This window comes from Homo sapiens, chromosome 7 (assembly GCF_000001405.40).
Source record: "Homo sapiens chromosome 7, GRCh38.p14 Primary Assembly".
Taxonomy (NCBI): Eukaryota; Metazoa; Chordata; class Mammalia; order Primates; family Hominidae; genus Homo; species Homo sapiens.
The window spans coordinates 1,528,664-1,556,627 of record NC_000007.14 but is presented as its reverse complement, the minus strand read 5'-3'; the positions used below and the strand labels follow the sequence as shown (position 1 = coordinate 1,556,627).

Genomic DNA, 27,964 nt, shown 5'->3' with positions numbered 1-27,964 from the left:
AACGATTCGGTGGCGGTAAGTATATCCACAGTGCTGTGTGCCTGCCGCCTCTACCTCATTTCAGGACTCCTGTCACCCCCCAGAGAAACCCTGTACCATTAGCTCTCCACCCCTCCTCCTGCAGCCCGGCCCTCCTTGGCCTGCCGCAGACCTCTCCCACGTGTCCCCACCAGGTGGCAGCTGCCTGGCCGTCTGGCATAGGCAGGTGAGGGCGCCAGGCGGCCAGCAGGTTCCTGGGAGCCAGCTGCCACCCAGCAAACAACCGGGAGGATAGGGTGTCAGCCGTGGGAGGGGACAGGAGGGGACGGGCCTGCAGCCTGGGGCCCAGGTGGGCCACTGGGGACGTGAGGCACTGGCCGCCCCGCCCCAGCCTGGCACAGCCCTTCAGATCCTGGCCTTGCCGCACCCACAGTGGGGCCTCCAGTTGGGGCCACGTGGCCATGAGAATGACCAGCTAGGCTTCCCTGGAGGCCAGGCCTCCCTGGACTGGGCCAGGTGCTTCCTGCCAGCAAAGGTAGAGCTGGGCCCTGTGACCGCAGACCAGAGGGAGAGGAGGAGGCTGGACTGGGCTGCGAGTGTGGGAGAGGGTGGACTCAGGGCCCCAGCAGGTTAGTGGGAGATGGAACAGGCACCCAGGGCTGCCAAGAACCCCAGCAAAGCCGGGCTCCCAGGTGGGTGGACAGGTCCCAGAGCCAGTGAGGGCCGGCTCCTCCCATGAGGGTGGCTGCACACCCCCTCCTGCCGGGGCAGGCAGTGCTGGTCTGCGCCCGCTCCCCAGCCCTCCCGGGCAGGCAGGGCGGCAGGGGTTCCCCCTCTTCTGCCCCACTGGAAGACGGTCTTTGTCCCCTAAGAAGCAGGCTCCCTGCAAGCCTGAGACTCGGAGTTGGAAGCTGGTTTTACAAGGGGGAATTGAGGTGGGACCCTCAGGTCGCAGGTGGTTGATGGGTGAGCTTCGATGGCTGAGCTCGGAGCAGGGAGGGAGCCGGGCCTGGCGCTGGTGTCCGTGTGGGGGGTGCGGCCTGGTGGGTGGCTCAGCCTCAGCTCCCGTCTCACTGTCTCCTCCCTCCCCCGCTGCTTCCTGCTGCCGGGAGCCAGTACCTTTGCCCTCACTCCTCCCGGTGTGTGTCCTCCCTCCCTCTGCAGATGAGTAATGTCTCAGGGATCCTGGAGACAGCCGGCGTCCCCCTGGTGTCAGCGAACTGGCCGCAGCCCAGCCCCCCACCGGCTGTGCCAGCTGGGCCGCAGATGGACCACATGGGGAACAGCTCCCAGGGGGCCCCCTGGCTCTTCCTCACCTCCGCACTGGCCCGAGGCGTCTCGGGGATCTTCGTGTGGACTGCCCTGGTGCTCACCTGCCACCAGGTAAGCCCTTCCGCCCCCGAGCCTCCTTCAGGACCTTGGTCTCCACAGGACGTGGCCGTGGCTCAGCCCGGTCCCCCTGGGTGCCGCTGCTATAGACGCTGTCAGAAGTGGGATCGGCCAGGGCACGGGGGAGGGGATGAGCTTCCCCAGGATGTGGCATGTGGGAGCTGGGCCTGAAAATGGGGAGATCTCTGCCAGGCTGAGGGCAGAGCGCCCACCGGGCACCCCTGGCTATTTCACAGGCTCGTCACTCGGCTCACTGAGGTCTGCAGTGTGGTCCCATTTCACAGACAAGAAGACTGAGTCTCAGAGAGACCAGAGGTCTTTCCCAGGCTCACATAGCTGGAAAGGGGAAGGGGCCTTCTCCTTCCAGAGGCGTGACACCCTGGAGAAGGCTGGTGGGAGGTTGGCAGGGGGTTGGACTTTGCTCTGTAGGGAGCTGGGGAGCAAAGGTCACAGCTTGTTAGAGGGACCGGGACTCCTGTGCAGGAGATGGGCGAGAAGCAACTTCCCCAAGCCCGAAGCCACACACAGCCCCCGACCCGGAGCAGTCCCCAGGTGGGAACAGAACAGCCCCCAGGTAGAGAAGCGGCCAGGCGCTGTGGCAAGGAAGGGCCAGGCAGGGGCAAGGAGGAAGTGGTGCCCGAGGGCAGGGGCTGGGCAGAGAGGGCAGGGAGTCAGGGACAGGACCCTCCTGAGAGACTCAGATACACAGAGAGGCCAGGGCGGTGTGCGCAGGGGTGGGGTGGGAGTGCGTGTGTAGGCCCGCGAGGGCCACACGGCTGCAGGGATTTGTCCAGAGCCCTTGACCCCAGTGCGGTGAGGTGGCTTTCAGGGGGTGCTGGGAGCCCAGGAAGGCTGTGGAGGGCTGGGCTGAGGGCAGAGCTGCTTCCCGGGTGCACGGGGCACTGGTGTAGGGAATGGATCTGTAGGTGAGCTGGGGCAGGGGGCCATCAGGAGACTGGCAGGCAGGGACACCGGTGGCCACAAGTCTCCGAGGGAGCATCTCAGTGACAGTTTATTAACTGCTTATTAGCCGGGCATGGGGGCCTGCACTGTTAGTCCCAGCTACTTGGGAGGCTGAGATGGGAGGATCGCTTGAGCCCAGTTCAAGGTTGCAGTGAGCTGTGAACAGATAACCAGAACCCACGGTAGACGTGTATGAGTGTGGCCTGGAGTGTGCAGAGCCGCGGAGGCAGTGCCGAGGCAGGCCCTTCCTGTAAGGCCATCAGAGAGGGCTTCCCGGAGGAGGCCGTCTTTCCGCTGTAATCCTGGGAACCGGCTGTGTGTGCGCGGCTGTAGTGTGGCTTTAGCTTCATGGGGCCTCGCAGTCAAGACAGGGCTCATGGAGACCCCTTGGGCTGGAGTTCAGGCCCTGTCCCACCCCTGAGCCCACCGCCAGAGTCACCCTTGAGTGAGGAGTCCCAGGCAGGACACAGAGTGGCTGGATCCCCCTCACTTTATACATGGGAGGACCGAGGCCGGAGAGGACAGTGGCTTGTCAAGGTCACCCAGCCAGGCAGCGCCAGCCCCGGGAGAGGTCTCCTGATGGCTGGTCATGCCGTCCCTCCCAGGGACCATCGGGGAGCGTGTGACTGATAAGAGTCTGTTCCTGCCTCCAACCTCCCCCAACTCCCTGAGCTGCACCCCAAGCGGCCAGGTGCACGTAGCCTCTGCTCGCCCACCGCCACGCATGCACCTCCTCCAGAAGGCCTTCCCCAGGAGCCCCTGTGCGCCCAGCTCCCAGGCTCGGCTGACCCTGTCTCAAAGACCCTGTAGTTGAGTTGTATCCTCACAGAAAACATGGAAAATCGGTCAGGCGTGGTGTCTCACACCTGTAATCCCAGCATTGTGGGAGGCCAAGGCGGGTGGATCACCCGAGGTCAAGAGTTTGAGACCAGCCTGGCCAACATGGGGAAACTCTGTCTCTACTAAAAATACAAAAATTAGCCGGGCATGGTGGTGCGCGCCTATAATCCCAGCTACTCAGGAGGCTGAGGCAGGAGAATCACTTGAACCCGGGAGGCGGAGGTTGCAGTGAGTTGAGATTGCGCCACTGCACCCCAGCCTGGGCAACAGAGCAAGACTCCGTCTCAATAAAAAAAATAATAATTAAAAATTAAAAAAAATAAAAACGTGGAAAATCTAGAAAGGTTTAAAGGCAAACACTACTATAATCACCCATACTTTTTCCCAGGCTTTCTTTTTTTTTAGGCAGGATCTCACTCTGTGACCCAGGCTGCAGTCCGGTGGCACAATCAGTGCTCACTGCAGCCTCCGCTTCCCGGATTTAAGCCATCCTCCCACCTCAGCCTCCCGAGTAGCTGGGACTGCAGGCGCCCGCCACCACGCCTGGCTAATTTTTGTATTTTTTAGTAGAGATGGAGTTCGCCCTGTTGACCAGGCCGGTCTCGAACTCCTGAGCTCAGGTAATCCGCCCACCTTGGCCTCCCAAAGTGCTAAGATTACAGGCGTGGGCCACCGTGCCTGGCCCCTAGGGAGGGACAAATTCTTAGGAATCAAAGGGTGCACATCCTTTGGATGCCCCCACAGCAAAAGCCAATGTGCCTTCTGAGAGTCTGCCCAGCCCAGGACCGGGACGTGTCCCCTCTCCGTCCCCCGGGTTGGACACTTAGCTGGGCTCTAGAAACGCCTGCTGAATGAAGGAATGAGTGAGCGTTCCCATTCCCAGGCTAAGAACAAACAGGACCCTCACTCATGCCCAAGGAACTTATTCAGAAAAAAAAAAAAAAAAAACCTATTGTACAACATGGTGACTGTTATAAATAACAATGTATTCTATGCTTGAAAATTGCCAAGAGAGTACATTTTACATGTCCTCCCCGCAAAGAAATGCTAAGTATGGGAGATAATGGAGACGTTAATGGGTTTGACTCAGCCATTCCCCACGAACACACATATCAGACATCGCGCTGCACACTGTAAATGCATACAATTTTGATTTGCCAATTTAAAAAATAAATTTTAGGCCAGGTGCAGTGGCTCATGACTATAGTCCCAGCACTTTGGGAGACGGAGGCAGGAGGATCCCTTGAGCCTAGGACTTTGAGACCAGCCTGGGCAACACAGTGAGACCCTGTCTGTACAAAAAATACAAAAATTAGCCAGGCAAGGTGGTGCACACCTGTAGTCCCAATACTCAGCAGGCTGAGGTAGGCAGATCACTCGAGCCCGGGAGTTCAAGGCTGCAGTGAGCCATGATTGTACCACTGCACTCCAGTCTGGGCGACAGAGCGAGACCCTGTCTCAAAAAAAACCTGGGCAAGAGAGCGAGACCATGTTTCTCAAAAAAATATTTTTTTTTTTTTGAGAAAGGGTCTCGCTCTGTCGCCCAGGCTGGAGTGCAGTGGCGCAATCTTGGTTCACCGCAACCTCCACCTCCCAGGCTCAAGCGATTCTCCTGCCTCAGCCTCTCTAGTAGCTGGGATTACAGGCGCGCGCCACCATGCCTGGCTAATTTTTGTGTATTTAGTAGAGACTGTGTTTCACCATGTTGGCCAGGCTGGTCTTGAACTCCTGACCTCAAATGATCCACCCACCTCGGCCTCCCAAAGTGCTGGGATTATAGGTGTGAGCCACTGCACCCGGCCATAAAAAGTCAATTATTCAAATGTGTATTATTTTTAGTTGTAACCAGAAATATGTATTTAACATATACATTCATACTTATATGTACTTCTATAGTAAATACGTATAAAAGTATGTATCTAATTACAATAGGCAAACAATTTATTTTCTCTAATTGTAATAAGGATGCCCATTGTAGAAAACTAGAAAATGCAAACATAGAAGGTGCCTGGTGGCCTGCACCCACCCCCACCTCCTTCCCGGCTCACCTGGGCTTGTGCAGGGGTACCAGGCGGACCCGGCTCTCACCCGAACCCTCCTGCGCCCACCCCCACCTCCTTCCCGGCTCACCTGGGCTTGTGCAGGGGTACCAGGCGGACCTGGCTCTCACCCGAACCCTCCTGCGCCCACCCCCACCTCCTTCCCGGCTCACCTGGGCTGGTGCAGGGGTACCGGGTGGACCCGGCTCTCACGCGAACCCTCCTGCGCCCAGGGCGGGCCCGGCTCTCACGCGAACCCTCCTGCGCCCACCCCCACCTCCTTCCCGGCTCACCTGGGCTTGTGCAGGGGTACCGGGTGGACCTGGCTCTCACCCAAACCCTCCTGCACCCACCCCCACCTCCTTCCCGGCTCACCTGGGCTGGTCCAGGGGTACCAGGCGGGCCCGGCTCTCATGCGACCCCTCCTGCGCCCAGATCTATCTGCACCTGCGCTCCTACACCGTGCCACAGGAGCAACGTTACATCATCCGCCTGCTCCTCATCGTGCCCATCTACGCCTTCGACTCCTGGCTCAGCCTCCTCCTCCTCGGAGACCACCAGTACTACGTCTACTTCGACTCTGTGCGGGACTGCTACGAAGGTGGGCGCCAGGCTGCGTCAGGTCGGGGGAGCGGAGGGAGAGACTCCCCGGGGCCTGCGTGCACGCACACTCTTCCATGGCCAGTCCCCAGGGCACCCCACTCTCCCGGCCCGTCAGAGGGGCTGCCAGGATAGTCAGGGTTAGCGGCGCTGGCAGGCCTGGAACACACGACTGACCCCACAGCCTCCGTGAGAGGGGCTCGGTGGACCTGCCCTGGCCTGGGGTGAAAGCAGGGCCCTGATGGAGCACCCTGACCCTCTCAGGCTGCCCCGCTGGGGATGGGGTCCATCAGGAGCCTCTTGCTGTGTGGCCTGCTGGGCTCAGCCCCTCCCGAGCCTCCTCCTGCCCTGGTGAGATGGGCGCCATGGGGTCCCGGTGCAGCTCAGGGCTCACAGCCGGTCCCCCTCTGTGCTCCCTGCAGCCTTTGTCATTTACAGCTTCCTGAGCCTGTGTTTCCAGTACCTGGGAGGCGAGGGCGCCATCATGGCTGAGATTCGTGGAAAGCCCATCAAGTAAGCCCGTCACCCCAGAGCCCCCACACCCCACACACCTGGGACAGGGAGCCCGGCGGCGCCGGGGCTGCATTCTCCCGCACCGGCTCAGGGACGTCCCCCGCAGGTCCAGCTGCTTGTACGGCACCTGCTGCCTCCGGGGCATGACCTACTCCATCGGGTTCCTGCGCTTCTGTAAGCAGGTGAGGGGCCACCCAGCCCTGCCCGCCCTCCTCCCACCCAAGCCCGTCAGGGGCCCTAGCCGGCCCAGCGCCACCCCACCCAGTGTCAGGGGGCTGCTCATTGCTGGCTGCCCCAATCCCCATTCCTGGGCCCCTGGGGGACCTGGCCCCAGGCCCACCGGGTGCCGTCGCCCCCAGGCCACTCTGCAGTTCTGCCTGGTGAAGCCCGTCATGGCCGTCACCACCATCATCCTCCAGGCATTTGGCAAATACCACGACGGGGACTTCAAGTAAGGCGGGAGCTGCGGGGACACCTGGCATGAGGTGGGCACTGGGTCCCCCGGGGCCCGGGAGTGGGGCCCAACGAGGCGGACTTGGCGTCCAGCTGGGCTCAAGTAAGGTGGGAGCTGCGGGGGCACCTGGCATGAGGTGGGCACTGGGTCCCCTGGGGCCCAGCGGTGGGGCCCAACAAGGCAGGCCTGGCGTCCGGCTGGGCTAGGGGCCCCGCCCAAGACAGGTACCCACTTCTTCTCCACAAGGACCTCGGTGCCTGCCAAGGCCGGGGGCCTGGACCTCCCCTCACAGGACACGGCTGGGGTGAGTCTAGCGTCTGTGCCAGCATCTGCGCCGAGGACCCCAGGGCTTCTGGCCAGGCAGTGATGGCCCCAGCCCCCGCCCAGCCTTGAGCACTCTTGGCATTAAGGGCACCTGGGCCAAGGGGACCAAGGTCCACCCCGACCTGTTGGCTGAACAGACAGGCAGCCACCCAGCACAAGGAGGACCCCTGCGAAGGTCCACACAGCTCACCCCTTGGACCCCTGCGAAGGTCCAAGGTGCTCACCAACACCACACAGATGCTCACACACGGGGACACATGTGCTGTCACCTGTGCGCACACATCACACACGTGCATCACATGTTCACACATGCACACAGCACATGCGCAAACCGTGCACACACCACCACACATGTATGTACACTCACATGCACGCAATATGTGCACACACACAGCGCACCCCACCTGTGTGCACACGACATACATGCACACACACCTATGTGCACACACTCACACGGGAACGACACCTGTGTGTCCACCACACAGAGGATCTTCAGGCAGTGGCCAGGTGGACGGGGTTGGGAGGTGGCGTTCCGACAGAGGCAGCCTGGATGCTGCCTGAGCAGTGGACAGGATCCTGGGACGAGGAGGAGCAGGGCCGGTAGGGAGAACGGCCACGTCCCTGCCCTACCCCTGCATAGGCCCCCCAGCCACCCCCAGCTCCCCACGCTCTCCTGCAGGCCCTGGAGTGAGGATCAGATCGGGGCAGGATCCCTGCAGGGCCCATGCTCCCAAGCTCAGGGTGGGGACCAGGCTGAGGGTGCAGCGGCGGTGGCTCTAGGGTGGGGACAGTGGCGGGGTCATGGGACCGCCCTGACCACAGCCCCCGTCTGTCCTAGTGTCCGCAGCGGCTACCTCTATGTGACCCTCATCTACAACGCCTCCGTCAGCCTCGCCCTCTACGCCCTGTTCCTCTTCTACTTCACCACCAGGGAGCTCCTGCGGCCCTTCCAGCCCGTCCTCAAGTTCCTCACCATCAAAGCCGTCATCTTCCTGTCGTTCTGGCAAGGTGTGTGGGGCAGGTGGGGCAGGGGTGCTACCGAGGTGGGGGCTGCAGTCCAGTGAGCCTGGGGTCACCTCACACCCCTTTCCCCAGCCCCCACGTGCTTCAGTTTCTCCAGCTGCAGCACAGGTCAGCTGGAAGCCAGGGTAGAACCTGCGGGCATGAGGGAGTGGAGAGGTCCCGCCAGCACGGGGGAGTGGGGAGGTCCCGCCAGCAGGTGGAGAGAGGTCGCACAGAGGCCACACCAGGTGTTTCCTGAATCCTGGCCCCCACTGGGCCCTGGGCCAGGCCAGGGCACTGACAGCCCACTTTGGCAGAGGAGGATGGCCACCAGACAGGGCACGGGCCCAGGATCTGGGGCTGGAGTGGCAGGGCGGGCCCGGGAGAGCTCCTGAGCACCTGCTGTGCCGAGACCCCCGACTTTGGAGGCGCCCTGCCCCCCTGAACCTCAGTCTCCTGGGGTGGGACGAGACTACACGGACGGGGTCACAGCACCCGTCAGAGGAGCCGCTGCGGGGTCTGGGGCCTCTTCCTCCCCTGCAGACCCCGTCTGGGGCTGGGGCTGAGCGGCCGTGGCGTCCGCAGGGCTGCTGCTGGCCATCCTGGAGCGGTGCGGGGTCATCCCGGAGGTGGAGACCAGCGGCGGGAACAAGCTGGGGGCTGGCACGCTGGCCGCCGGCTACCAGAACTTCATCATCTGCGTGGAGATGCTGTTCGCCTCCGTGGCCCTGCGTTATGCCTTCCCCTGCCAGGTGTACGCAGAGAAGAAGGAGAATTCACCAGGTACACCCTGCCTTCCAGCTGGGGCACCCGGAGCGCACAGCCCTGCCCCGGGCACCGTGTCTGTGTCCGTGCCATTCTCGAGGCCCAGGAATGCCAGCTCGCTGGGCAGGGAGACGGGCAAAGGGCATCCGGCTCCGGACAGGCACCTGGGCTGTGTGGGGTCCAGGCGGTCCCGGACCCCAATGGTGATGGGGGATGGGTGTCCCCTGCCAGGCACACCCCCTATTAGGGCGGAGACAGCCTGTGGCCTGCCGGCTTCTCATCAGTCACTGTGGAGAGACCAGGGTGCCCACCCGAGGCCAGCCAAAGGCGTACTCCGCTGCTTGGAGCCCCTCGGAAGCTCTAGGGGACGTGGTCCTTGTCAGGGGTCTGGCCAGGGACGGGCCCGGTGCTGGGTGGAGCAAGCTGGGCTGGGGTCCAGGGGTCTGGGGCCACCCTCTGCTGGCCGAGGCCAGACCTGGACATGCAGGAGCTACAGCCCTGGGCATCCTGGGAGGGGACTTGTCCGGGGAGCTGGAGTGCAGGGGGGATGGTGGGGCTCATACACTGCCCTCCCCCAGCCCCCCCGGCACCCATGCAGAGCATCTCCAGCGGCATCAGGGAGACAGTGAGCCCCCAGGACATCGTGCAGGACGCCATCCACAACTTCTCCCCCGCCTACCAGCACTACACGCAGCAGGCCACGCACGAGGCGCCCAGGCCCGGCACCCACCCCAGCGGCGGCTCCGGCGGGAGCAGGAAGAGCCGGAGCCTGGAGAAGCGGATGCTGATCCCCTCGGAGGACCTGTAGGGGGGCCTGGGCTGCCAGTGCTGTAGGGACCCAGGCTGCCCAGGCCTCTGGGGAAGAACAGGGTCCCCCCACCCACCAACTCCTGCCAAAGGTGGGGCCTCTCCTGAGAGCCCACCTGTGAGGCCCTCGGAGCCCACTTCCCATCCTCCCTCCAGCCAGGGGGTCAGGGCACCTGATGGCCCTGGCAGGCACCCAGGTGGGCCCGCCACCGCAGGAGAGGGCACCTGAGCCAATCGGAAGAGCCTGGGGACCCCCTGGGATCACCCAGCCATCAGCCCCAGGAGCCACTGTGGGGCGGAGAGTGAGTGTGGCTGCGGGGCCTTGGCTGCACGGACCCCATGGGAGCTGTGAGTGGGTCAGACTCCCTGGTTCAGGAGACAGACAGCGGACGGATCCCAGGCTGGGCAGCTGGAGGGAGGGGCGCCGGGGCGCTGGGCAGCCGGGCTCTGACACAGTCAGCAGCTCCGGGCGCCGCAGGCCGGCGGGGTCCACACAGGCTGGCCGGGGCTGGGCCTCCTTGGAGCCTGCTACGGCCCTCGTGGGCACGTGGAGAAGGGCCCACGTGTCTCCACACGCCAGCCACAGGGGAGCCCTGGCCAGGCGCCCAGCCAGGGGAGCGTGTGCCTGGGATGGGTCACAGAACCAGCGGGCACCTGTGAGGCTGGCCAGCACCGTGGGGCTGTGGGAATCGCTCTTATTTATATTTAAACACCTTGGATTTTCTACCGGGTCTTGGCTTCTGTTCCCGCAGGGCATGAGCCTGAGGAGCAGGACGCGGTGGGGGTCACAGGAGGCTGCTGCTCAGAGTCTGCATGCGGGAAAGGGGTCCCACCTGTCTGGGGTGGGCAGCCTCGTGGTCCAGGGCAGTGCAGGGCAGAGCCTGGGCTGTGCGATCACAGCCACTGCCTTTCTCCTGGGAGCCTCCACTTCCTCCAAAACGGGCCTTGTGCCAGCCCCACCCGCGGCGAGCGGACAAGGCCACGAAGGCAGGGCCCTGAGTACCTGGGCGGGGGGGACACTCCCAGGGGGCACAGAGGGGGCTCCCACCTGGGCACCTGCCTCCTGCCCTTCTCTTCTTCCTCCACGTGCCAGGTGGGGCCCTGGGTTTGAGGAGCCTCGGACGCGTGCCCTGCCCGCAGGAAGCTGGAGGCGTGCAAGTGGCCTCGGAAATCGCGGCCGCAAGAACAGTAGCCGCCCAGGGACTAAGGGGGCTTCTGGGAGGACACACGGCTGGCCCAGGGCGAGGGGTGTCACTGCAGGGCGCCCCCCAGGCCCAGGGCCCGTCAGGGGACAGTACGGTGACCCGGCCTGCAGGTGGCAGTCAGTTCTGTGTGTCTGGGGCCCGCAGCACAGGTTGGGTGGGGGCTGGGGCAGGGGCAGCAGAAGTGGGCAAGGCCTGGGGGGCTCAGGCACTGGGCGTGGAGAGCAGACAGGAAGCTCCAGTGGGCACCACCCCGGGACCGCGGCTCCCACCCGTGCTGCCCCCCACCCATGGCCACGGTCACCAGGAACAGCGGGACCTGGGGTCTCCGAGGGACTCAGCAGGGCGGGCACAGACCAGTGGAGTCCGGGCTAGAGAGGGCCAGCTCCCAGCCTCTTGCTTCCTGGGCTGAGGACATGGGGATCCAAGGCCAGTGGGTCTGCAGGGCCCAGCCCGGCTGCCTGATAAGATAGGCTGAGCTCCTCCCTGCACGGCTGCAAAGACGCCCACCTGTCTTATTGGATCCCCACAGGAATAGACCCACCAGGCGGCCCCCGTGTCTCACTCTGTCAGCAGGTCCCCAGGGACCTGCTGCCGAGGGGCAGTTTCTGGAGGCTGGGGGCACTGGCTGGGCTCTAGGCCTGCTCTGCCCTTGCCGTGGGGAAGGCCACCCCGATAGGGGTCAAGTTGCTCAAATCTGCGTTTGGAGGGTGTGTGGCCGAGGGCTCCCTTTCTGGAGACCCAGACACCGCCTGGGCTCCGGGCGGCAGAGGCTGAGGTGTCAGGGGCTGAGCCCCTATGTCAGCAACACCTCAGGCCTGCACTTTAGGACAGGGGAGAAGTCAGTTTCCGCCAAATGCCCCCTCAGACCAGCCGAGGACTGTGCCAGGAAACTGACATGCTCAACGCTCAAGCCAGCTGGGACAGCGACCGAGCCCAGAGAGACGGAGCAAGTTGCCTGAGGTCACAGAGCAGGGACTTGGACACCAGGCAGCCGGCTCCACAGAGGCCCTCTCTCCTCCCTGCCTCCTGACCCTCAGACGCCTCCGCCCCACGGGTGAGGCTGCTTCTGCTTCTTTCCAACACGACTCGAAGGAAAGCCCTGAGGGCCGAGCCCGCTCTGCGTGGACGGAAGGCAGCGTGGGGCGGTCCAGGCCGGGGCTCAACCTGCCTCGAGGGGGAGCGTGGGCGCATGTGAGCGGGAGGGACGGAGACTAGCGTGGTTCCAGTGTCGTCATCGCTGCTAAAAAAGGGGTTTCCCGGTGACAGGCCCCGACAGAGGAGCAGGCCATGAGGCAGGCAGGAGCCGCGTATCTGGGCCCAGCGCACCCGCCAAGCTCTCTAGCCTCTCCTGGCCTCAGTATCCTTCTCTGGGAGATGGTCCAGCTGAAAATCCCCAGCATCCACAAGAAACGGTGGAAGCCCTGGGGGCCCTGGCCTGGCCCGGGTGCAGGCTGCATGGCCGGGCGGGGCGGTGTCTCCTTTCACAGCTTCCCCGTCTGTCCGCAGCCTCCAGGAGCCCCACACAGGGCTGGGGCTCTGTGCCCCCAACTCACACCCGTCGGCTCCCCCAGGAGGAGCAGGCTGGGCCCAGAGCCGCAGGGTGGGCTGCAGGGAGGTCTGACTTAGCTGGGGAAAGTGCCATCCCTGCCATTGCTAGTGACAAGCTCGGGCTGCTGTGGCCCCAGCACAGATTCAACACTCACTGCGCTATGTGCCAGCTGTTGCACACTCACCTCCACACCCAACTCACAGGAAGCAAGGCTGGGAAGGAGGGAACTGGCCCCAGGCCACACAGATGCTGCGAGTTGGGATTATGATCGGGTGCAGTGGCTCACACCTGTAATTCCAGCACTTGGGGAGGCCAAGGCGAGTGGATTGCTTGAGCCCAGGAGTCTGAGACCAGCCTGGGCAACATGGTGAAACCCCATCTCTACAAAAAAAAAATACAAAAATTAGCTGGGCGTGGTGGTGCGTGCCGGCGGTCCCAGCTACTCAGGAGGCTGAGATGGGAGGATTGCTTGAGCCTGGGAGGTCGAGGCTGCAGTGAACTGTGATCACGCCCCTGCACTCCAGCTTGGGTGACAAAGCAAGATACTGTCTCAAAAAACTCGAGTTGGGATTTCACCCTGCGTGGTCCAGCACTGAACAGCGTTCACACCTCGGTCAGCTCAGCCCCAAAAACGGGGAAGGCCGGGCGGGGTGGGGACGGCATGCGGGCAGGCCCGTGGCTTTTCGGAGGAGTCCACGGGCTTCCGGCCACTGTGCAGGGGCGCTTTGCTCTCTGCTCCCAGACAGACCCTGTCTTGCTCACAGCTTCCTGCAGGCTCCTCTGAGAGTCCAGCAAAGCTGGGCGAGATGTCTCCCAGGGAAGGGGAACACTGACAGCCGTGCTGCTCTCTGCTCCTTCCACTGGAAGGGAGAGGCTGCATGGACAGGGGGCTCCGGGTGGGGCAGATGGGGACACTCAGGACTGCGGCCTGACCCTCAGAGACTGAGCCCAGGACGTGGTCACCTGACCAGCACCTCCCCCGTGGCTGTCCCAGCCTCACGGTCACGGCCCAGCAGTCCGGGAAAGCCACTTACACGTAGTGCCCGGATCCTGACCCCGGTGAGGGACAGGCAGGGTCCCCTGGGATTGGGGGGGGGGTGTGGTTCTTGGCCCAAGAAAGCCCCAGCTGAAAGCACCAGCTACGCAACGAAAGGGTCTGAAACCAGAAAATTCTTTATTGCAAAGGTACAAAAGCAGTCACAGCAGCAGGACGCACGGCAATAAATTAGGTGGTGGCCGCAGGGACGGGGCAGGGCGGCGGCGGCCAGACACGGGCCCACATGTGATCTGTTTTCAATAATTTATATCATGATAAAAAGCAGCACAAAAAATAAATAATGAAATGGAACTGCCAAGTAGCACAGAAGCCAGGGTGAGGCGGTGTGGCGGCGTGGCGGCATAGGGGGCCGGGGTCCCCACGCCCTGGAAACGCAAAGACCTGGATCTCTTTGGGAAGCCGGAGGCACGGAGACAGAAAACAAACCCACGTGACAAAGAGTCCCTCGTCTTTTTCTTAAATAAAAAAATCCATATATTAAATCATGACAATGAAATTTCAACAATCTGAAAAGAAAAGCAGAACACACCGTGCTTCCCCGGCCCAGCTCTGGGCGGTGACAGCGGCTCCGTCCACCCTGGGGACCAGGGAGTCCCTTCTCCAGCAAAGCACTGCAGGCCAAGGGCAGGTAGAAGCCCACGGCCCACAAGACGTGGACACCAAGAACCCCAAGACGGGACAGAACCGGCCACCCGCTGCGGCCTGTCCTGCGGGGCCCAGCTGCCTGGTACAGTCCGTGGGGAGATGAAGGGGGACGGCGGGCAGCCCGGGCCTCCGCTTTGCTCCCAACTCCCACCTGTGCCCGTGCCCCCGGCTCTGCTCTGATAGATTTACAGTATCAAACTGGAAAAGAAAGATTGTTACGAAAAATCTGTAGATAAACTGTGAATATAATTTTATATCTCTATATATTTTCTGTTTCTCTCTTTAAATATCCCCCTGGTCCTTATGACATCCAATATGGATTACCTACCACGGCCACGGGGGCAACGGCTGTTTGGGAACACGCAGGCCTTTGCTCTGTAGGGACCCAGTGGTCCTGGCGGGCCTGCAGCTTCCCACTCAACTTCTAACAGTAGACACAGAACCAAGTCGCAGCCCCGGGGCTGTCTGTCCTCTGCCCTCCCAGCGTGGCTGGCACCCGCCTGGGCTCTGTAGCTGGTGGGGGCTGTTACTGGGTGGGCAGGGGCAGCCGAGAAGGAGCCAGGGCCCCAGGCACCACCTTGCAGGTCTTATGTGGCGGCCCCCGGCCGGCGGCTCACATTCCGCCAGCTCCCCCAGGCAGGGGCTCCGCAACCCCCGCGGCTCTCGCTGCAGAGACCCCAGTCACAGGAGGGACCCTCAAGGCGGCTCTCCAGGAAAAGGAAGCCCAAGGTGGAGTGCCAAGCCCACTGGTGCCTCAGTGCTCTTGGAAGGAGGAGCAGGCAAAGGCTCCGGGTGAGGACTGAGTGCTGAGGCCAGCCACACCTGCAGCCCGTGGCTGTGCTCCTGGGGGTGTGCGCGCAGGAGCCACGTCCACGAAGCTCTCCTGGACTGGTGCCTGCTGCCTCCCCACCCGCCGCGCCCTCTGGAGTGCCAGGCTCACTCCTGAGCTCTTCTACAAGCCAGCTGCATCCTGGTCCTGCCCCTCAAGGCTTTCCACCTGCTCTCGCACACGGCTCCCGCCTCCTCCCACCACTCCACGCAACGTCCTCCTCCTTCCACCTCCACATCCATGTCCACCAACATCCCCCAGGCTGCACCCCCTCTCCCTAGACTGCAGCAGCCCTTCCCCTCGCCAGGCCCCCAAAAGACCTCCTCGTTCCCCCTGCACTGACCACAGTTGGTGAGAAGTAGCTCCAGGACACACAGCCTGAGTCCTGCTCACCGTCAAATGATGGGGCGCTCCTGCCTGTGTCCGCTGAGATCCGGGACGGCCTGTGGGGTCGGTGTCTGGGGGGCCGGATCCCGTGGGCAGGGGCTTCTGCGCTGTGCTGCACGACCTCCTCGGGTCACCAGAGCACAGGGGAGACCTCACGACGTGTGAGCCACTCTCTCTGCCATGTGTGCCCACAGGCCCTCCCCCAGTGAACACCAGCAAGCTGCACCCCCTCAGCCCTGCTGCTTTGATGGCAGGCGTGCGTGCACACACACAGACACCACCCCACGCAGGCGACCTCCCACACCGTGCCCACTCACGCAGGCCCCTGCTAAGGCAGACGCGGATCACGGGCACTGCAACGGGACAGCTGGAAGGACGGAGCTGCCGACACACCATCCATGCTCCTCCCCGGGGACTGCGGAGTCGGTCAGGGCAGTGAGGGGCTCCCGCACCGGCTGGGAGGCCGTGGCAGGACAGGTGTCGAAGGCTGCTTACAGCAGGAGTGGAAAACAAGCCCCATGCTAGACCTGACCACAGGGGCCTGACTCCTGGGGCCGTGTCTTCCGGCAGCCCCCACAGAGGACGCGGAACTTCCCGAGGGCCTTTCCATTATATGTCCCGACTCCCACGGGTGCAAGATACCAATTCCCACACACAGACACATCCTGCGGGGAGCAGGTGGCGGGCGTGAGTGTGTCTGTGGACCGGCGTGCAGCTCTGGGCCCACGGGAGCCCACTCTTCACCCTGCAATACAGTCTCTTCCTGGTGTGAGCTGCCTGCGCCCGAGGGGCCTGCGCTTGGACTCGGATGTCGAGAGTCTGCATCCCAGTGACAGGTACGAGGGGTGTGCCCCCACCCGCCTGCCCGCCGCCCGCCGCCCGCCACCCCCCGCCCCCGGCCGGCACTAGGATGCAGCCGAGAAGGGCACGGAGGTGGAGGAGAGCTCGGTGGACTTGACGATGGTGATGACGCTGGTGGTGGCCACCTTGGAGGGCGCCACAGGTCCCCGGGCCACGGTGCGCGCGAAGGTCTGCAGCGCCTCGTACTTGGAGCGCAGGGCGTCCAGCTCCAGCCGCATGCTGCTGTTCTCACGCGCCAGCTTCTCCACCTCCTGCTGCAGCTCCACGCGCTGCCGCTCCAGCTCCTCCTTCTGCGTCACCCGCTTGATGCGGCAGCTGGCCGCGTAGCCGCGGTTCTTGAGTGTGCGCCGACGCTGCTTCAGGCGGGTCACCTCCTCCTTGGTGAGACCCCGCAGGTGCTGGTTCAGCTCCCGCACCGACATGGACACCAGCTCATCATCGCTGAGCACCGGGGCGTTCTCGCCCGCCTCCTTCTTGACCTGGGGGGCCACAGTGCGGGGTCAGCGGCGGGAGAACGTGGGGTGTCTGCCTGGGACCGACACTGGGGTGGCCAGGAACCCAGCGGTGCCCCTGCACGCCTGCGCTCTCAGGGCTGGCCTTCGCCATCCGCACCAGGGACCACAGGACACTGTGCACGCAGGCAGCCCATGTGACAGCTGTGGCCCCACAGGACCCTTTCTGAACGGGAAAAGCCAGTGGTGACATCGGTCACTCCTGGTTACCGACAGCCTCAGAGCCCATGAGGACCCAGAGTGCATGGGTCCTGCTGCTGGGACTGAGCCGGCCCACAGGCACACGCCATTGTGGAGGCGGCAAGCGCCAGGCACAGGTGGGCTCGGGCCTTGGGAGCTGGAGCATCGCGTTCACCAGAGGCCACGCTGGCCACGCTGCCCACGCCTGGAGCCAGGGGATGAGCTCATGCAGTAGCGCCCGGCGGACACACAGCCCAGGCGGGAAGGCAGCAGACCCTGCCACGCCCTCAGCCTGGGAGTCATCGCCTGGAACCACAGTCCCCGATCCTGACTCCACCTCTCCTGTGAACATCCCTCGGCCACAGCAGCCCCCCTCCTCCTGGCAACAGGGAGGCCTCCATCACAGGCTCAGGACGGCCCTGGGATAGCAGGGGCTGTCGGGCCGGGGGCCTTTCCCACGCCTGTGCTTGAGACGGGGCCTGCTTGGAACCAGCCTTACCTTTAATGCCTTATTCGGTTTGGGATTAGTCGTCATAACCCGGGCACGGTCACCAGGACAGAGCTCCCTGGAACTCGTAGCTGGAAAACATGGACAAGCAGAGAAGCCAGCACAGGTCAGGGCCGGCAGCGCCGGACAGGGTGCCCACCTCCCATGCAGGGATGCTTCTCAGCCCGGGGTGGACAGTCACAGCACCATGAAAACAAGACGGGGCACCATCCGGGCCCAGCCCGTCCTGAGGGGCTTCCCAGGGGGTGAGGCATCCTGGCCCGGCCTCTGTCCCTGCCTGAGGGTTCAGGGAAAGGTCTGGCTGCACCTCACACTCTAGCACACTCCACAGAGCGGCTGGGACCCCACCCCAGGGCCTGGCAGCCAGGTGCGGCCCCCTGCTGCCCTGCAGACCTGGGCTGCAGCCGCCGGCACTGTGGGGTGACCAGCAGGCGCCGGCAGTGGCTGCTTCCTGTTCTGACTCTCCCTGAGGTCAGAGAAGACGTCTGCACCTGCACAGCACAAGGTGCCCCGTACCGAGGACCAAAGTGACTGGTGGCAAAACCTCCCTCCCTCAAGACAGCTGTGCCGGCCCCGAGGAGTGTGGGGCCCCGCTGGACAGCGACCCTACACTGGCAAAGGCTCCGGTGCTCCGGACCCAGCCTGGATCCCCGAGAGGGGGCCTCTGGGGAGCCCCTGACATCGCCATCCCCCACGGTGGGCCTGGGTGGAGGCCCAGCCGCCCTCCCGCCCCGCCCTCCCCACAGGCCACGGGACACCTACCACGGCCCTGGCCGCTGCGGCTGTGACATCACCACCTCCACCTAAGCTGCCCCCGAGCGAGGACCCTGCGGCCCAAGGGGGTGTGGGGTTCCTGAGGGGCGGCAGGTCCGGGGGCCGCAGCCAGAGACCAGGGAGGTGGGGGAGCCGCCGCCCTGCCGAGCATTTGACCGTCTGGCGGGAGTCGTCCCCGCCGCCGCCCCCGCCGTCCTCACGTCTGCATTGTGTCACACATTCTAATCATTCATGAAAAACCCAGCCAAAGCATCCCCGGCATGAGCCCTCCGATAGTTGCCATGGCGACCTTGGGACCGAGCCAGCCCCCACGGTTGTCATGGAAACCGAGAAGCCCAAACGCGATCCTGACTTCAGGTCAGGTTGCACAGACATCACGAGGCCGGCAGGCAGTCAACAAACCCATTTGCACCCGGCGGCCGGGACGGGCGGGCAGAAGGCGCCGGGCAGCTCGCGGGACAGGGGTTCACAGCACCCACTCCCATACCCCAAATACCAGACACAGGTTCCCACAGGAACATCAGAGCAGCACACGGCGGTGGGGGGTGTCCTTGGTCAGCACCTCCACTGGACATGGGCATCATGGGGGCGGGTGACCGCATCCCGTCCTCCCTGCCAGCCCAGGACCCTCCCCACACCCTGGGCCAGGGAGCCCTCGGGCCCAAATCCCTCCACCCTCCAGCCCTGCCTCCGATGGGGGCCCCACCCCCGCAACCCACAAACCCCCACAACAAGAGGGCCGCACAGGTGAGACAGGGTCCTGCGCCAGGCTGCCGAGTCCGCTGCCCCTGCCAAGGCCAGCTGATCTCAGGGCGCTGACGTAGATGGCACAGGATGGCACCAGCCGGTCCCGGGGACGGCCAGGTGGGCTCCAGGCTCCTTCGCACCACGTCCTGGGGTGAGGGTGACAGTGGAGAGGCTGGGGCCCAGCTGCCTCCGCCACCGTGGGGACCTGCAAATGCCGGCGGCTGGGAGCACCATGAGAAACTTTTCCATGTCAGAGGGAGGGGCCGCGGGCACCGCTTCCAGCTCCACTGCGAGCACGTCAGTGCACAGGCCGGCCACGACATAGCTATGCGGTGAGTCACCAGATGTTTACAGAGCCGCGCGCATTCCCACACACCCGGGCCTCCCACCCAGCAAGGACCCGCTCCTGGGCCCCCGGGCCCACTGCCCGCCGTGGCAGCACAGCCGGGCGGAAAAGGAAGGTCCGGGGGACAGGACCGTCTGGCCAGACCCACGGTGACGTGTGGGGCTCGGCCAGATGCCAGGGGCAGAGTTCAGCGTGGGGATCTTTCCACTAAAAAGATGCCTCCGCGATGCCCTGTGACACTGCGGAGGCACACGGTAGCCGGGGGCGCCCCAGGAGGGGTGGCTGACTACTTCCAGGAGGTCAAGGTTGCCAGGGCTACTGAAGCACGCCTGTGCCCCGCTCCAACCCCAGTACTTCGAGGCACACCTGCACTGGGGCCCTCTGAAGAATGAGGACCTGGCGGACGCAGGGCTCCCAGGCGGCCCCCACGCTGTGCTCGCAAGCCTGCCCCCCACCTCCTTGGGCAGGTCACGACTCTGCTCTGCCGAGGAAGCCTGGACCAGCCACGCGCCTGGAGAGACGACGCAGCGGGACGGCCCAGCCAAGCAGCAAAGCTTCTCTCAGGAACCCAGCACGGGATGGGATGGTGCTGGCGCCTCCCTCTCCCCACCATGCACAGAATAAATCCAAGTAGCCTTAACCTAATGTCGCTTTAAACATCAGAGGCAAGAAAGATGACAGCTTGCTTTTGGAAGGACATTCAGAGAAGAGTTTTGTATGCACAAAAAAAGTTTGTAAAGCAACTGATCTAAAAATGACGACTGCCCTAAATGGGGTTTTGTGAACTGTCCGACCTCACATGGCCTCCAGGGCCGCCAGAGCACATGTAGAAAGCGCTCCCACCCCAGGGCCAGAGACGCAGCCTTAGGGTGTCATCCAGGGGGAAAGCGTGCCTGGGGTCGCAGAGACGCCCGTGCACTACCCCGGGCCCAAGGCAGGGGCTACTGCATTAGCACCTGGTCAGCACTGCAGCCAAGCTCCCCTCCAGCAGCCCCCGAGGAACGACGTCCTCGCATTGTGTCTTACGCCCAGCAGCTAACAAAACACCAGCATCGCCACGCACAAGCACCCGACACCCCGAGCTCCTCTGAGTTTCGGTGGTCACCAGAGAAGTGCAGTGTTCAGCGCCACAGCGGGGGCCTGGGTGGGCGGGTCTGAGTTTCCGCTGTGGGGCCCCAGCAGCCGACGTAAGTAAGGGTGCAGCGCTCACGCCCCACGTCCCGGGAGCAGCGCCGGGCAGCAAAGTTCTCCGGCACCACCTATAACTTGGAACAGCTCTCAGGTAACTGGTTTTCGGATGGAAGAGGCAGGGTTTTCAACCCAAGGCCAGACACCTCGACGTGACGCAGAACTAAACAAGGCTCAGCGGGGGCATCACTTCCTCTCAAGGAAAAGGAACTGCCAGCAGCCTCAGACAGAGGCAATTCCTGCGGCTGCAGCTGGGGATGAGTGACGGAGCCAGGACGCCGGGCGCCCCTTTCCAGGATCCAGACTGAGGGCCTGGGCTCCATAAAGCGCAGGGCAGGGCGGCTCCGCCCAGGAAGGCACCTTGCAGAGGGTGAGGATCAGAGCCCTGGGCTCCCCCCGGCAGGGCAGGCAGCCCAGGGTCAGTCGTCCAGAACTGTGCTTTCAGGAGCAGGTGATCCCCAGGCAGCCACCTCAGCTTCTGGAGGATCATGTTTTCCCTTTTAATTTTCATTTTAGAGACAAGGTGTCACTCTGTCACCCAGGCTGGAGTGCAGTGGTGAAATCACAGCTCACTGCAGACCTCCTGAGCTCAAGCGATCCTCCTGCCTCAGCCTCCCGAGCAGCTGGGACTACGGGTGGGCACCCCCACACCCAGAGAATTTTAAACTTTTTTGTAGAGACAGGGTCTCACCATGTTGCCTAGGCTGGTCTCGAGCTCCTGGACTCAAGTGATCTTCCTGCCTCAGTCTCCCAAAGTGCTGGGATTACAGGTATGAGCCACCATGCCCGGCCATTTTTAACTTTTTAAGTCCCAGCAAATACTCACTGGTCACCCATGGGCCTGACCCTGCTCAGTGGGGGGCTGGCAGCCTTGGCACCTCTTGCTGTGCTGGCACAAGCTGAGAAGGACCTGCTTTGGGGTCCAGGAGGGAACATTTTCTCCACCAAGTTGGGACTGGGCACAGTGGCTCTTGCCTGTAATAGCAACGCCTCCGGAGGCCGAATGCTCGAGCCCAGTAGTTTCAGGCCAGCCTGGGCAACATAACAAGGCCCCATCTCTACAAAAAAAAAAAAAAAAAGAATTTTAAATAGCCAGTTGTGATGGCACATATGTGCCTATGGTCCCGGCTACTCGGGAGGCTGAGGTGGGAGGATTGCTTGAGCCTCGAAGTCGAGATTGCAGTGAGCTGTGATCACACCACTGCACTCCAGCAGCCTGAGTGACAGGGCAAGACCTTATCTTTTAGGAAAAAAAAAAAGAGAGAGTGCAAAAGTGAGTTGAGCAGCTGACGGCTGGATGACCCCTCTGAACGGTCCCGGCTGTGGATGCCCATAGAGAAACGGGGATTTCAGCTTTGGGGCTCTGATTCTTCCCAGATGAGAGGACGCATCGGGGCTGCCGCTCGCTCTACGAGGCCAGCATGGGGGCTCTGGATGGGTCACTTGTTCTTGCCCAAGGGGTGAATGATGACACAGACTCCATGCCCCACCCCCTCAGCTGCCCAGCCAGTCTGACCAAGACGGAGTGGCCCTTCCACTTCTATTCTCCGCGGGTCTCCGAGGATGTGGGATGCGGGAGAGGGAGGAGGGGCAGGAGGAAGACCAGGAACGGAGGACGGGAGCTCTGTGCGAGAGACACGGGTTCAGAAACCCAGCAGCACAGCAGCAAGCGCCCTCCCGCCCCCCGACCAGTGACTCCCACGGCAGGTGCAATCCACAAAACCAGAGGCCACCCAAGGTGTACCCGCCTCTCCCAGGAGCCTTTCTGCCAGAGACCCCAAGCCGGGTGCCCTCCACACTGGGCCGCAAGGGTAGGTGGGGCCGCTGTGGCACTGGTACCCAGTGGGTGCCTGTCAAACAGGTGTCAACCGACTAATTGCAGCCCAGCTGGTCCCAGAGACCAGCCAGACACCCTTCCTACTGAGGATGAGGTCCTACACTGCGAGGGCCCCCACTGTCCGGCTGTCCCGGACACAGCCCCACTAAGCATGCGGGAGGCACCCCACTTGGCACCCCGCAGCCCGGCCCATACCAGCCAGCAGCCTGGCCCTGGCTGGCTGCCCTCCAGCAAGCCATGACTGTCGGCCCGGCTTGGAGGACGTCTGGTCACCTTGCATTTGCAGTCTGAGGAAGCTGTGTCATTCCGCTACATCCAGAGGTGACTCAGGCAGCTGCAGCAGCAGAGAGCAGACTGCAGAACACACCACACCCCCTCCAGTCCCCGCCCTGGCTCCCACCACACCATCCTCCTGTCCTCGGCCTCCAGCTCCCCATCAGCATCCTGTTCTCCCCCGGCCGCCCTGGGGCTTCAATCCGCTCCCAGCCTCTAAGTCCAGTCAGGGGCATTCCGGGGGGCCCAGATGCCCCCCAGCCCCCAACCGCATCATTCACCGGAGTTGCCCCTGCCCCTCTCTCTTTTCCTCATCCACGCGCCAACCAGGCTTGATCCCAGCCCTCAAGCATCACCCGCCTGAACCCACAGCACCTGCCCAGGCTCCGGCCTCCAGCGTCTCCTGTCTGGACCACAGCTTTGCCAAATGGGATGCCCTCACCCTGATCCTGGTGCCCCCCACACAGCCCCACAGGCAGTCAAAAGTCTTGGGGGTTCCTCCCAAACCCCGACTCCCCCACCCCAATGCCGTTTCAGGTTTCTGATCACCATCTGCAGAGAGCACGTGGTTCCCTGCCCTGCTTCTTCCAGAAACACTCCCCACTGCTCTCCTCCTCGCGTAGGCAAGCACCCTCTACCAAGGCCTGGTTCTAGATCCTTCTGGGGACAGGGGGCCTCCCCAAGGCATGGTGAGCTCCTTGCAAGCAGGGAGAAGGTCTTCCCTACACCCCACACTAGCCCCCGCTGTACGAGATGAGCCGGCCCCGCATGGGAGGGCAGGGAGAGGGCAGTCTCCACCCCAATACCTTCCCCAGGACACCCGACGCACAGTGCGGAGAAGCAGGAAGGCTCTACACCAGACCCCACCGGCCTGTGGGACAGGCCAGCAGACCTCATGGCCTGGGCTTCCTCATCTACAGCAGCTGGTCGGGGGGTGGGGCATGTGGCCACTCAAGTTCGCTTGTACCTGCTCTAAAACTCTATGATTTTAAGACGACACTCCCAGTTTCCTGAAACTGTAGGAAAGCGGAAACATGACGAGTCTGTGACTTATAAAAAGCAAAAATAAATAGCGGGGAAAGGCATCTTCCATTCGCGGAGAGCAGGGAGGGTGGGGACGGAGCGGTGAGTCACTGTTTACTGTTGAAAGGCGGCCACACGGAGCCCTCTCTCAGCTGGCCAGATTTCCATTTCCCGTGTGGACTGGACCCGAAACCCAGAAAGTCCACTCCAGAAACCTTTAGACTCAGAAACAGCTGGGACAAGAACAGGCACAACTTCTTCTCCGTCTGGGTGGCAAACAGCTTTGCCAGAGACTGTAAACAAACGCAGCCATCGCTGAGCCCCGTGGGTGAAAGCACACGCCTTGTAGACAGCGAAGTGGCCCGGAAGACGGTCTCCCTTAACAGCAGCCTCCCGGGTGCACACAAAGGCTGGCGCCCCGACAACCCTGACCCTCGGTAAACGCTGGCTCCCGGGTTTACCAGCACCTGGGGAGTCGACGCTGCGGGCAACCAGCCCCTCAAAGCCCTGGCTCGGTTCAAGGATAAAAGGCAGGAGAAGCCTGGTTTTTCTGCTTTAATAAATGTCTTATTTTGGAATAATGAGAGGTCTAGTTTTAAAAGCAGACTCCCTCTCCCAAGGTCAAACTCAGACATTCCTACTGGGTTACCTAAGAAAGGGAGATGTTCTCATAAATGGCACTGGACGCCCAAATAGGGTGTAGGTGTGTCCCAGACACCTGCACAGCCCACCTATGTTCTCCAGACCCCGCCCACGGCTCTTTTAATGCTCCATGTCCCTGAAGACATTGGGTTTGGAGAAGCTGCATAGGGCACCCCACTCTGTGTTGGAGAACCCCTTACAACAACACACCGTGACGGTGAAACCTCAGTGCCAGTAAAGAGACCTGGCAGCCCACCCTGGAGAATCAGAGGGGTGGGAAGGGCGCTGCCAGAGCCGAACCACACAGATATCCCCTAGACCACGATGGGGGGCGGTGGGGGGCGTTTTGAGTCTCAGGATCTTCCCAAGGCCAGGCACCTGGCCAGAGATTGGCTGGCTGCCTGTGGGTCACCTGGTGAATGAATGGTGAGTGGATCTAATTTCTGCCTCAGCTACAAGAGCTACTTAAGAAGCAAGAAAACAGCATGCTCAGGGACGCAGGACACCAGGAGAGGGACACGGGAGGCCCCGCGAACACGGACACACACGGTGTGAGCGCGAGAATGCAGTGCAGGGCCACTGCTGTGTCCCAGGCGGACCCAGGTCAAGGGCCAAGGCCAGGCGGGGTCCTGGCTTTCTGGGTTTCTCGGTGGCGCCTGGTCCCACCCCCCAGGATCTAGAGGCTGTGCAGACGCAGACACACACAGTCACGGGCACATACACAGTTTCCTGAACTTGACAGAGGCACAGAAGAACTCACGCAGTGGGAGCGGGAAGAGGCCGGAGCCCCTGCCCCACACGTGAGCAAAGGGACGAGCCTTGGGGCCACTGTCACCTGCCCCCCTCCCGCCTCCCCACGGCCTTCCTTCCAGCAACCCTGGCAGGTGGGCGGCTGAGAGCGACACCAGTCCCAGGATCCCGCCTGTGGGGAGACCCGGTTACCCCCACCCCGTTCCCGGGCACGCGTGACCCCAGCCACTGGGCCAGAGCGCCGCCCGTCACCGGGAGGAAGCGCGGGGGGCAGTCCGGGGCCGCACGCGGAAGCCACGCTGGGGCGGAAGCCGCGGAGAATCCACGCGCCCGCGCCCTCCCCGCACCGCCCGCACGTGGCGCCCGCCCCGCCCCGCCCCCCGCAGGTGTGAAGGCGCGGGCCCGATGCGCGCCGCCGACCCGCGTGGATCCTCGTCCTCCCAGGTCTGGGGTCCGCGCCCTGGGGCCCCCGGCGCGGCAAGCATGGCCCGGGCGGCACGTGCAGGGGAGAGAGCCTCGCGTCCCGGGGAAGCCCCCGGGCCTGCGGGGCGGGGCCCACCTGGGCAGGTGCCCGGGCCGCGCCGCGGGCCGCATGAGGGTCTCGGGCCCCGCGCACCCAACCCCGCCACCCTCGGCCCGCGCCCCCAGGCGGCCGTGACTCAGCGGCCAGGTAGCCCCGGCCCCGCGCCCCGGTCCCCGTCCCCGCCGCGGCCCGGGCCCCGCTGCCCCACCGCCCCTCACCTGGCGTCGCGCGGAGGGCGCGGGCGCGCGGCGGCTCCTCGCGGGCACGCGCTGTCCTCGCGCCGGCGCTCACTGTCGCGCTCCCCTCGGCCGCCGCCGCCGCCTGGCGCTCGGGCTCCGACTTCGCGAAGAACAACAAGTGCCCCCGCGCCGCCCGCCGCCACCGCACCCGCCCGCCCGGCTCCCCAGCATCTGACACCGCTTCCGGGATCCGCGGCGCGCGCGTCACACCGCCCTGCCCCCCGGGCCACGCCCCCTCCCCGCCCCGCGGCCACGCCCCCCGGCCACGCCCTCCTCTCCCGCCCGGGGGGCCGCTGGCCCCGCGCGCACCTGCAATCCCCGCGCTTTGGGAGGCCCTGCGGGAAGATCTCTGGAGGCCGGGAGTTCAAGACCAGCCTGGGCAACATAGCGAAACCTCCCTTCCCCCATTCTCTGTCTCTATAAACATAAAAAACATTAAGGCCAGCTGGGAACGGTGGCTCATGCCTGTAATCCCAGCACTTTGGGAGGCCAAAGCAGGAGGATCGCTTGAGCCCAGGAGTTCCAGACCAGCCTGGACAACACAGTGAGACCCCCATCTCTACAAAAAAATTACAAAAATTAGTCGGGCGTGGTGGTATGTGCCTGCGGCCCCAGATATTCAGGAGGCTGAGGCAGGAGGATGGCTTGAACCTGGAAGGTGGAGGCTGCCATGATTTCATCACTGCACTCTAGCCTGGGTGACAAGGTGAGACCCTGTCTCAAAAAAACAAAACAAGCAAACCAGCAATGTAAAAATGGGGATAAGCGGCTAGTGATCACAGCCTCTGTGGGTGGGGCCAGCCCCCTTCTAAAGCCCCAGCTGGTGGTTGCCAGGGGACACAGCAGGCCCAGGATGGGGTTAGGGCACCACTGGCCCAAGGAGTCCTGTGAGGGATCCTCAGGTGGGGGCGGGCCCCTGAGGGAGCTGCCTCTGCTTCCTGTCACAGGTGGAGGACAGGCTGGAGAGGGGATCCGTCTGGAGCCCCTTGCCACGCTTCTGGGTCCCCAAGTCCCGCCCCCCTCTGAGCGCTGCAGGAAGAGGAGTTTCAGGCCTGGGCAACCGAGGGCCCCCCAGGACACCCATGGCATCTGCCCGGGGTTCTGGGAAGCCTGTTTTCTCAGCTCAGGTGGGACCCGGGAGCCTGTTTTCTCGGCTCAGGTGGGACTCAGGAGCCAGTGCAGGGAGGTCTGTGCATCTTCTGGGTGTCGTCCTTACCACCATGTGGCTGGGGATTTAGGCAGCAGCCCAGTGGCCTCTTGCTGTGGAGCGCGGGGGCAGCCTCCCGGGCCATCTCTCCCCCCCACTTGCGGGTTCTGCACTGGCCACCTGGGAGGCCCCTCCTTGCTAAGGCCCACACGGCCGTCTGGGGCAGCTAGCCACAGTGATGCCTGCAACCTGGCCGCAGAAACAGGTGCCAAGAAATAACTCAACAGCAGCAGTAGCGACAATGTCCCACGTCCCCAGGATGTTTGCAGAAAGACATCCCCCGGGGATGGGAAAGGTGCTTCCCTTGTCCTGGCCCACACTCTGCACTCGGGGTCCTGGGATGCGCTGGGAGCCTCCAGAGAAGCTGTGGCCATCTCCGCGGGACTCTTTACGTTACTCATGGTGTCGCTCCTCTAACCCAAATGCATTCTTTCCATAGCAGGCTTTTGTTACTAATCACACACTTTTATTATCTCTTTAATTTTTTAATTTGTATTTATTTATTTCTGAGATGGAGTCTCACTCTGTCGTCCAGGCTGGAGTGCAGTGGCACCATCTCGGCTCACTGCAGCCTCCGCCTCCCAGGTTCAAGTGATTCTCCTGCCTCAGCCCCCTCGAGTAGCTGGGATCACAGGTGCCCACCACCACGTCTGGTTAAATTTTGTTTTTGTTCTTGTTGCTGTTTTGAGATGGAGTCTCACTCTGTTGCCAGGCTGGAGTGCAGTAGCACGATCTCGGATCACTGCAAGCTCCGCCTCCCAGATTTAAACAATTCTTCTGCCTCAGCCTCCTGAGTAGCTGGGACTACAGATGCCTGCCACCACGCCCGGCTAATTTTTTTTTTTTTTGTATTTTTAGTAGAGACGGGTTTCACCATGTTAGCCAGGATGGTCTCAATCTCTTGACCTTGTGATCTGCCTGCCTCGGCCTCCCAAAGTGCTGGGATTACAGGCGTGCGCCACCACACCGGCTGATTTTTGTATTTTTCGTAGAGACGGTTTCACCAT

At 63.0% G+C, this 27,964-nt stretch overlaps 2 protein-coding genes and 1 long non-coding RNA gene across 7 annotated transcripts, besides 16 other annotated features; 2 read left to right on the top strand and 1 right to left on the bottom strand.

The window, feature by feature from the left end:
* Nucleotides 5–804: an enhancer, noted in NCBI's record as "H3K27ac-H3K4me1 hESC enhancer chr7:1595460-1596259 (GRCh37/hg19 assembly coordinates)". NCBI's record gives its function as "activates a minimal SCP1, AML or CMV promoter by ChIP-STARR-seq in naive H9 embryonic stem cells {active_cell/tissue: H9 hESC(naive)}" and the evidence as "EXISTENCE:reporter gene assay evidence [ECO:0000049][PMID:30033119]".
* Nucleotides 148–237: a silencer, noted in NCBI's record as "silent region_17859". NCBI's record gives its function as "represses an Ori minimal core promoter by ATAC-STARR-seq in GM12878 lymphoblastoid cells {active_cell/tissue: GM12878}" and the evidence as "EXISTENCE:reporter gene assay evidence [ECO:0000049][PMID:35858748]".
* Nucleotides 278–347: a silencer, noted in NCBI's record as "silent region_17858". NCBI's record gives its function as "represses an Ori minimal core promoter by ATAC-STARR-seq in GM12878 lymphoblastoid cells {active_cell/tissue: GM12878}" and the evidence as "EXISTENCE:reporter gene assay evidence [ECO:0000049][PMID:35858748]".
* TMEM184A (transmembrane protein 184A) lies at nucleotides 423–14,393 on the top strand. The gene is made up of 9 exons (NM_001097620.2): nucleotides 423–514; nucleotides 1,144–1,362; nucleotides 5,646–5,811; nucleotides 6,233–6,323; nucleotides 6,430–6,505; nucleotides 6,683–6,774; nucleotides 7,940–8,109; nucleotides 8,689–8,886; nucleotides 9,447–14,393. Exons 2-9 carry the CDS (start codon nucleotides 1,144–1,146, stop codon nucleotides 9,674–9,676), a joined length of 1,242 nt encoding a protein of 413 aa, NP_001091089.1. The 5' UTR covers nucleotides 423–514; the 3' UTR covers nucleotides 9,677–14,393.
* Nucleotides 805–1,605: an enhancer, noted in NCBI's record as "H3K27ac-H3K4me1 hESC enhancer chr7:1594659-1595459 (GRCh37/hg19 assembly coordinates)". NCBI's record gives its function as "activates a minimal SCP1, AML or CMV promoter by ChIP-STARR-seq in naive H9 embryonic stem cells {active_cell/tissue: H9 hESC(naive)}" and the evidence as "EXISTENCE:reporter gene assay evidence [ECO:0000049][PMID:30033119]".
* Nucleotides 941–1,235: an enhancer, noted in NCBI's record as "tiled region #1064; HepG2 Activating DNase unmatched - State 1:Tss". NCBI's record gives its function as "activates a minimal TATA promoter and a strong SV40 promoter by Sharpr-MPRA in HepG2 cells {active_cell/tissue: HepG2}" and the evidence as "EXISTENCE:reporter gene assay evidence [ECO:0000049][PMID:27701403]".
* Nucleotides 1,715–1,897: a silencer, noted in NCBI's record as "fragment chr7:1594367-1594549 (GRCh37/hg19 assembly coordinates)". NCBI's record gives its function as "represses an EF-1alpha promoter that drives an FKBP-Casp9 reporter gene in an ReSE screen in phorbol 12-myristate 13-acetate-treated (for megakaryocytic differentiation) K562 erythroleukemia cells {active_cell/tissue: K562(+PMA)}" and the evidence as "EXISTENCE:reporter gene assay evidence [ECO:0000049][PMID:32094911]".
* Nucleotides 12,059–12,208: an enhancer, noted in NCBI's record as "active region_25495". NCBI's record gives its function as "activates an Ori minimal core promoter by ATAC-STARR-seq in GM12878 lymphoblastoid cells {active_cell/tissue: GM12878}" and the evidence as "EXISTENCE:reporter gene assay evidence [ECO:0000049][PMID:35858748]".
* Nucleotides 13,585–25,926, bottom strand: MAFK (MAF bZIP transcription factor K). 5 transcript variants are annotated; one of them, XR_007060155.1, is made up of 4 exons: nucleotides 18,171–19,181; nucleotides 17,400–17,479; nucleotides 15,354–16,687; nucleotides 13,585–14,329 (listed from the first exon to the last, which is right to left on the bottom strand). XR_007060155.1 is itself a non-coding variant. In NM_002360.4 (3 exons), the coding sequence occupies exons 2-3, from the start codon at nucleotides 17,433–17,435 to the stop codon at nucleotides 16,253–16,255; spliced, it is 471 nt and encodes a 156-aa protein (NP_002351.1). In that variant the 5' UTR covers nucleotides 17,436–17,479; nucleotides 25,730–25,926; the 3' UTR covers nucleotides 13,585–16,252. The 5 variants fall into 5 exon arrangements, 3 of the variants coding, with proteins under 3 accessions (NP_002351.1, XP_006715836.1, XP_005249908.2); XR_007060154.1 differs by having other exon boundaries at nucleotides 18,928–19,181; NM_002360.4 differs by lacking the exon at nucleotides 18,171–19,181 and adding an exon at nucleotides 25,730–25,926 and having other exon boundaries at nucleotides 13,585–16,687.
* Nucleotides 17,249–18,191: an enhancer, noted in NCBI's record as "H3K4me1 hESC enhancer chr7:1578073-1579015 (GRCh37/hg19 assembly coordinates)". NCBI's record gives its function as "activates a minimal SCP1, AML or CMV promoter by ChIP-STARR-seq in naive H9 embryonic stem cells {active_cell/tissue: H9 hESC(naive)}" and the evidence as "EXISTENCE:reporter gene assay evidence [ECO:0000049][PMID:30033119]".
* Nucleotides 19,136–20,079: an enhancer, noted in NCBI's record as "H3K27ac-H3K4me1 hESC enhancer chr7:1576185-1577128 (GRCh37/hg19 assembly coordinates)". NCBI's record gives its function as "activates a minimal SCP1, AML or CMV promoter by ChIP-STARR-seq in naive H9 embryonic stem cells {active_cell/tissue: H9 hESC(naive)}" and the evidence as "EXISTENCE:reporter gene assay evidence [ECO:0000049][PMID:30033119]".
* Nucleotides 20,080–21,023: an enhancer, noted in NCBI's record as "H3K27ac-H3K4me1 hESC enhancer chr7:1575241-1576184 (GRCh37/hg19 assembly coordinates)". NCBI's record gives its function as "activates a minimal SCP1, AML or CMV promoter by ChIP-STARR-seq in naive H9 embryonic stem cells {active_cell/tissue: H9 hESC(naive)}" and the evidence as "EXISTENCE:reporter gene assay evidence [ECO:0000049][PMID:30033119]".
* LOC100128653 (uncharacterized) lies at nucleotides 21,748–24,175 on the top strand. Its single transcript, NR_149036.1, has one exon. It is a non-coding gene; the product is annotated as an uncharacterized LOC100128653 (long non-coding RNA).
* Nucleotides 23,441–23,550: an enhancer, noted in NCBI's record as "active region_25494". NCBI's record gives its function as "activates an Ori minimal core promoter by ATAC-STARR-seq in GM12878 lymphoblastoid cells {active_cell/tissue: GM12878}" and the evidence as "EXISTENCE:reporter gene assay evidence [ECO:0000049][PMID:35858748]".
* Nucleotides 23,441–23,890: a biological region, named in NCBI's record as "Sharpr-MPRA regulatory region 13805".
* Nucleotides 23,521–23,815: an enhancer, noted in NCBI's record as "tiled region #13805; K562 Activating DNase unmatched - State 1:Tss, and HepG2 Activating DNase unmatched - State 1:Tss". NCBI's record gives its function as "activates a minimal TATA promoter and a strong SV40 promoter by Sharpr-MPRA in K562 cells, with weaker activation in HepG2 cells {active_cell/tissue: HepG2 | K562}" and the evidence as "EXISTENCE:reporter gene assay evidence [ECO:0000049][PMID:27701403]".
* Nucleotides 23,741–23,890: an enhancer, noted in NCBI's record as "active region_25493". NCBI's record gives its function as "activates an Ori minimal core promoter by ATAC-STARR-seq in GM12878 lymphoblastoid cells {active_cell/tissue: GM12878}" and the evidence as "EXISTENCE:reporter gene assay evidence [ECO:0000049][PMID:35858748]".
* Nucleotides 25,207–25,336: a silencer, noted in NCBI's record as "silent region_17857". NCBI's record gives its function as "represses an Ori minimal core promoter by ATAC-STARR-seq in GM12878 lymphoblastoid cells {active_cell/tissue: GM12878}" and the evidence as "EXISTENCE:reporter gene assay evidence [ECO:0000049][PMID:35858748]".
* Nucleotides 25,827–26,096: a silencer, noted in NCBI's record as "silent region_17856". NCBI's record gives its function as "represses an Ori minimal core promoter by ATAC-STARR-seq in GM12878 lymphoblastoid cells {active_cell/tissue: GM12878}" and the evidence as "EXISTENCE:reporter gene assay evidence [ECO:0000049][PMID:35858748]".

Coding starts and splice junctions, on each gene's coding strand:
- TMEM184A (NM_001097620.2), top strand. CDS start 1,144: ATGAGTAATGTCTCAGGGATCCTGGAGACAGCCGGCGTCCCCCTGGTG. Junction 6,506..6,682: donor TCCTGCGCTTCTGTAAGCAG/GTGAGGGGCCAC, acceptor CGTCGCCCCCAG/GCCACTCTGCAGTTCTGCCT. Junction 6,775..7,939: donor TACCACGACGGGGACTTCAA/GTAAGGCGGGAG, acceptor CGTCTGTCCTAG/TGTCCGCAGCGGCTACCTCT.
- MAFK (NM_002360.4), bottom strand. CDS start 17,435: ATGACGACTAATCCCAAACCGAATAAGGCATTAAAG. Junction 16,688..17,399: donor AACCGAATAAGGCATTAAAG/GTAAGGCTGGTT, acceptor GTGGCCCCCCAG/GTCAAGAAGGAGGCGGGCGA.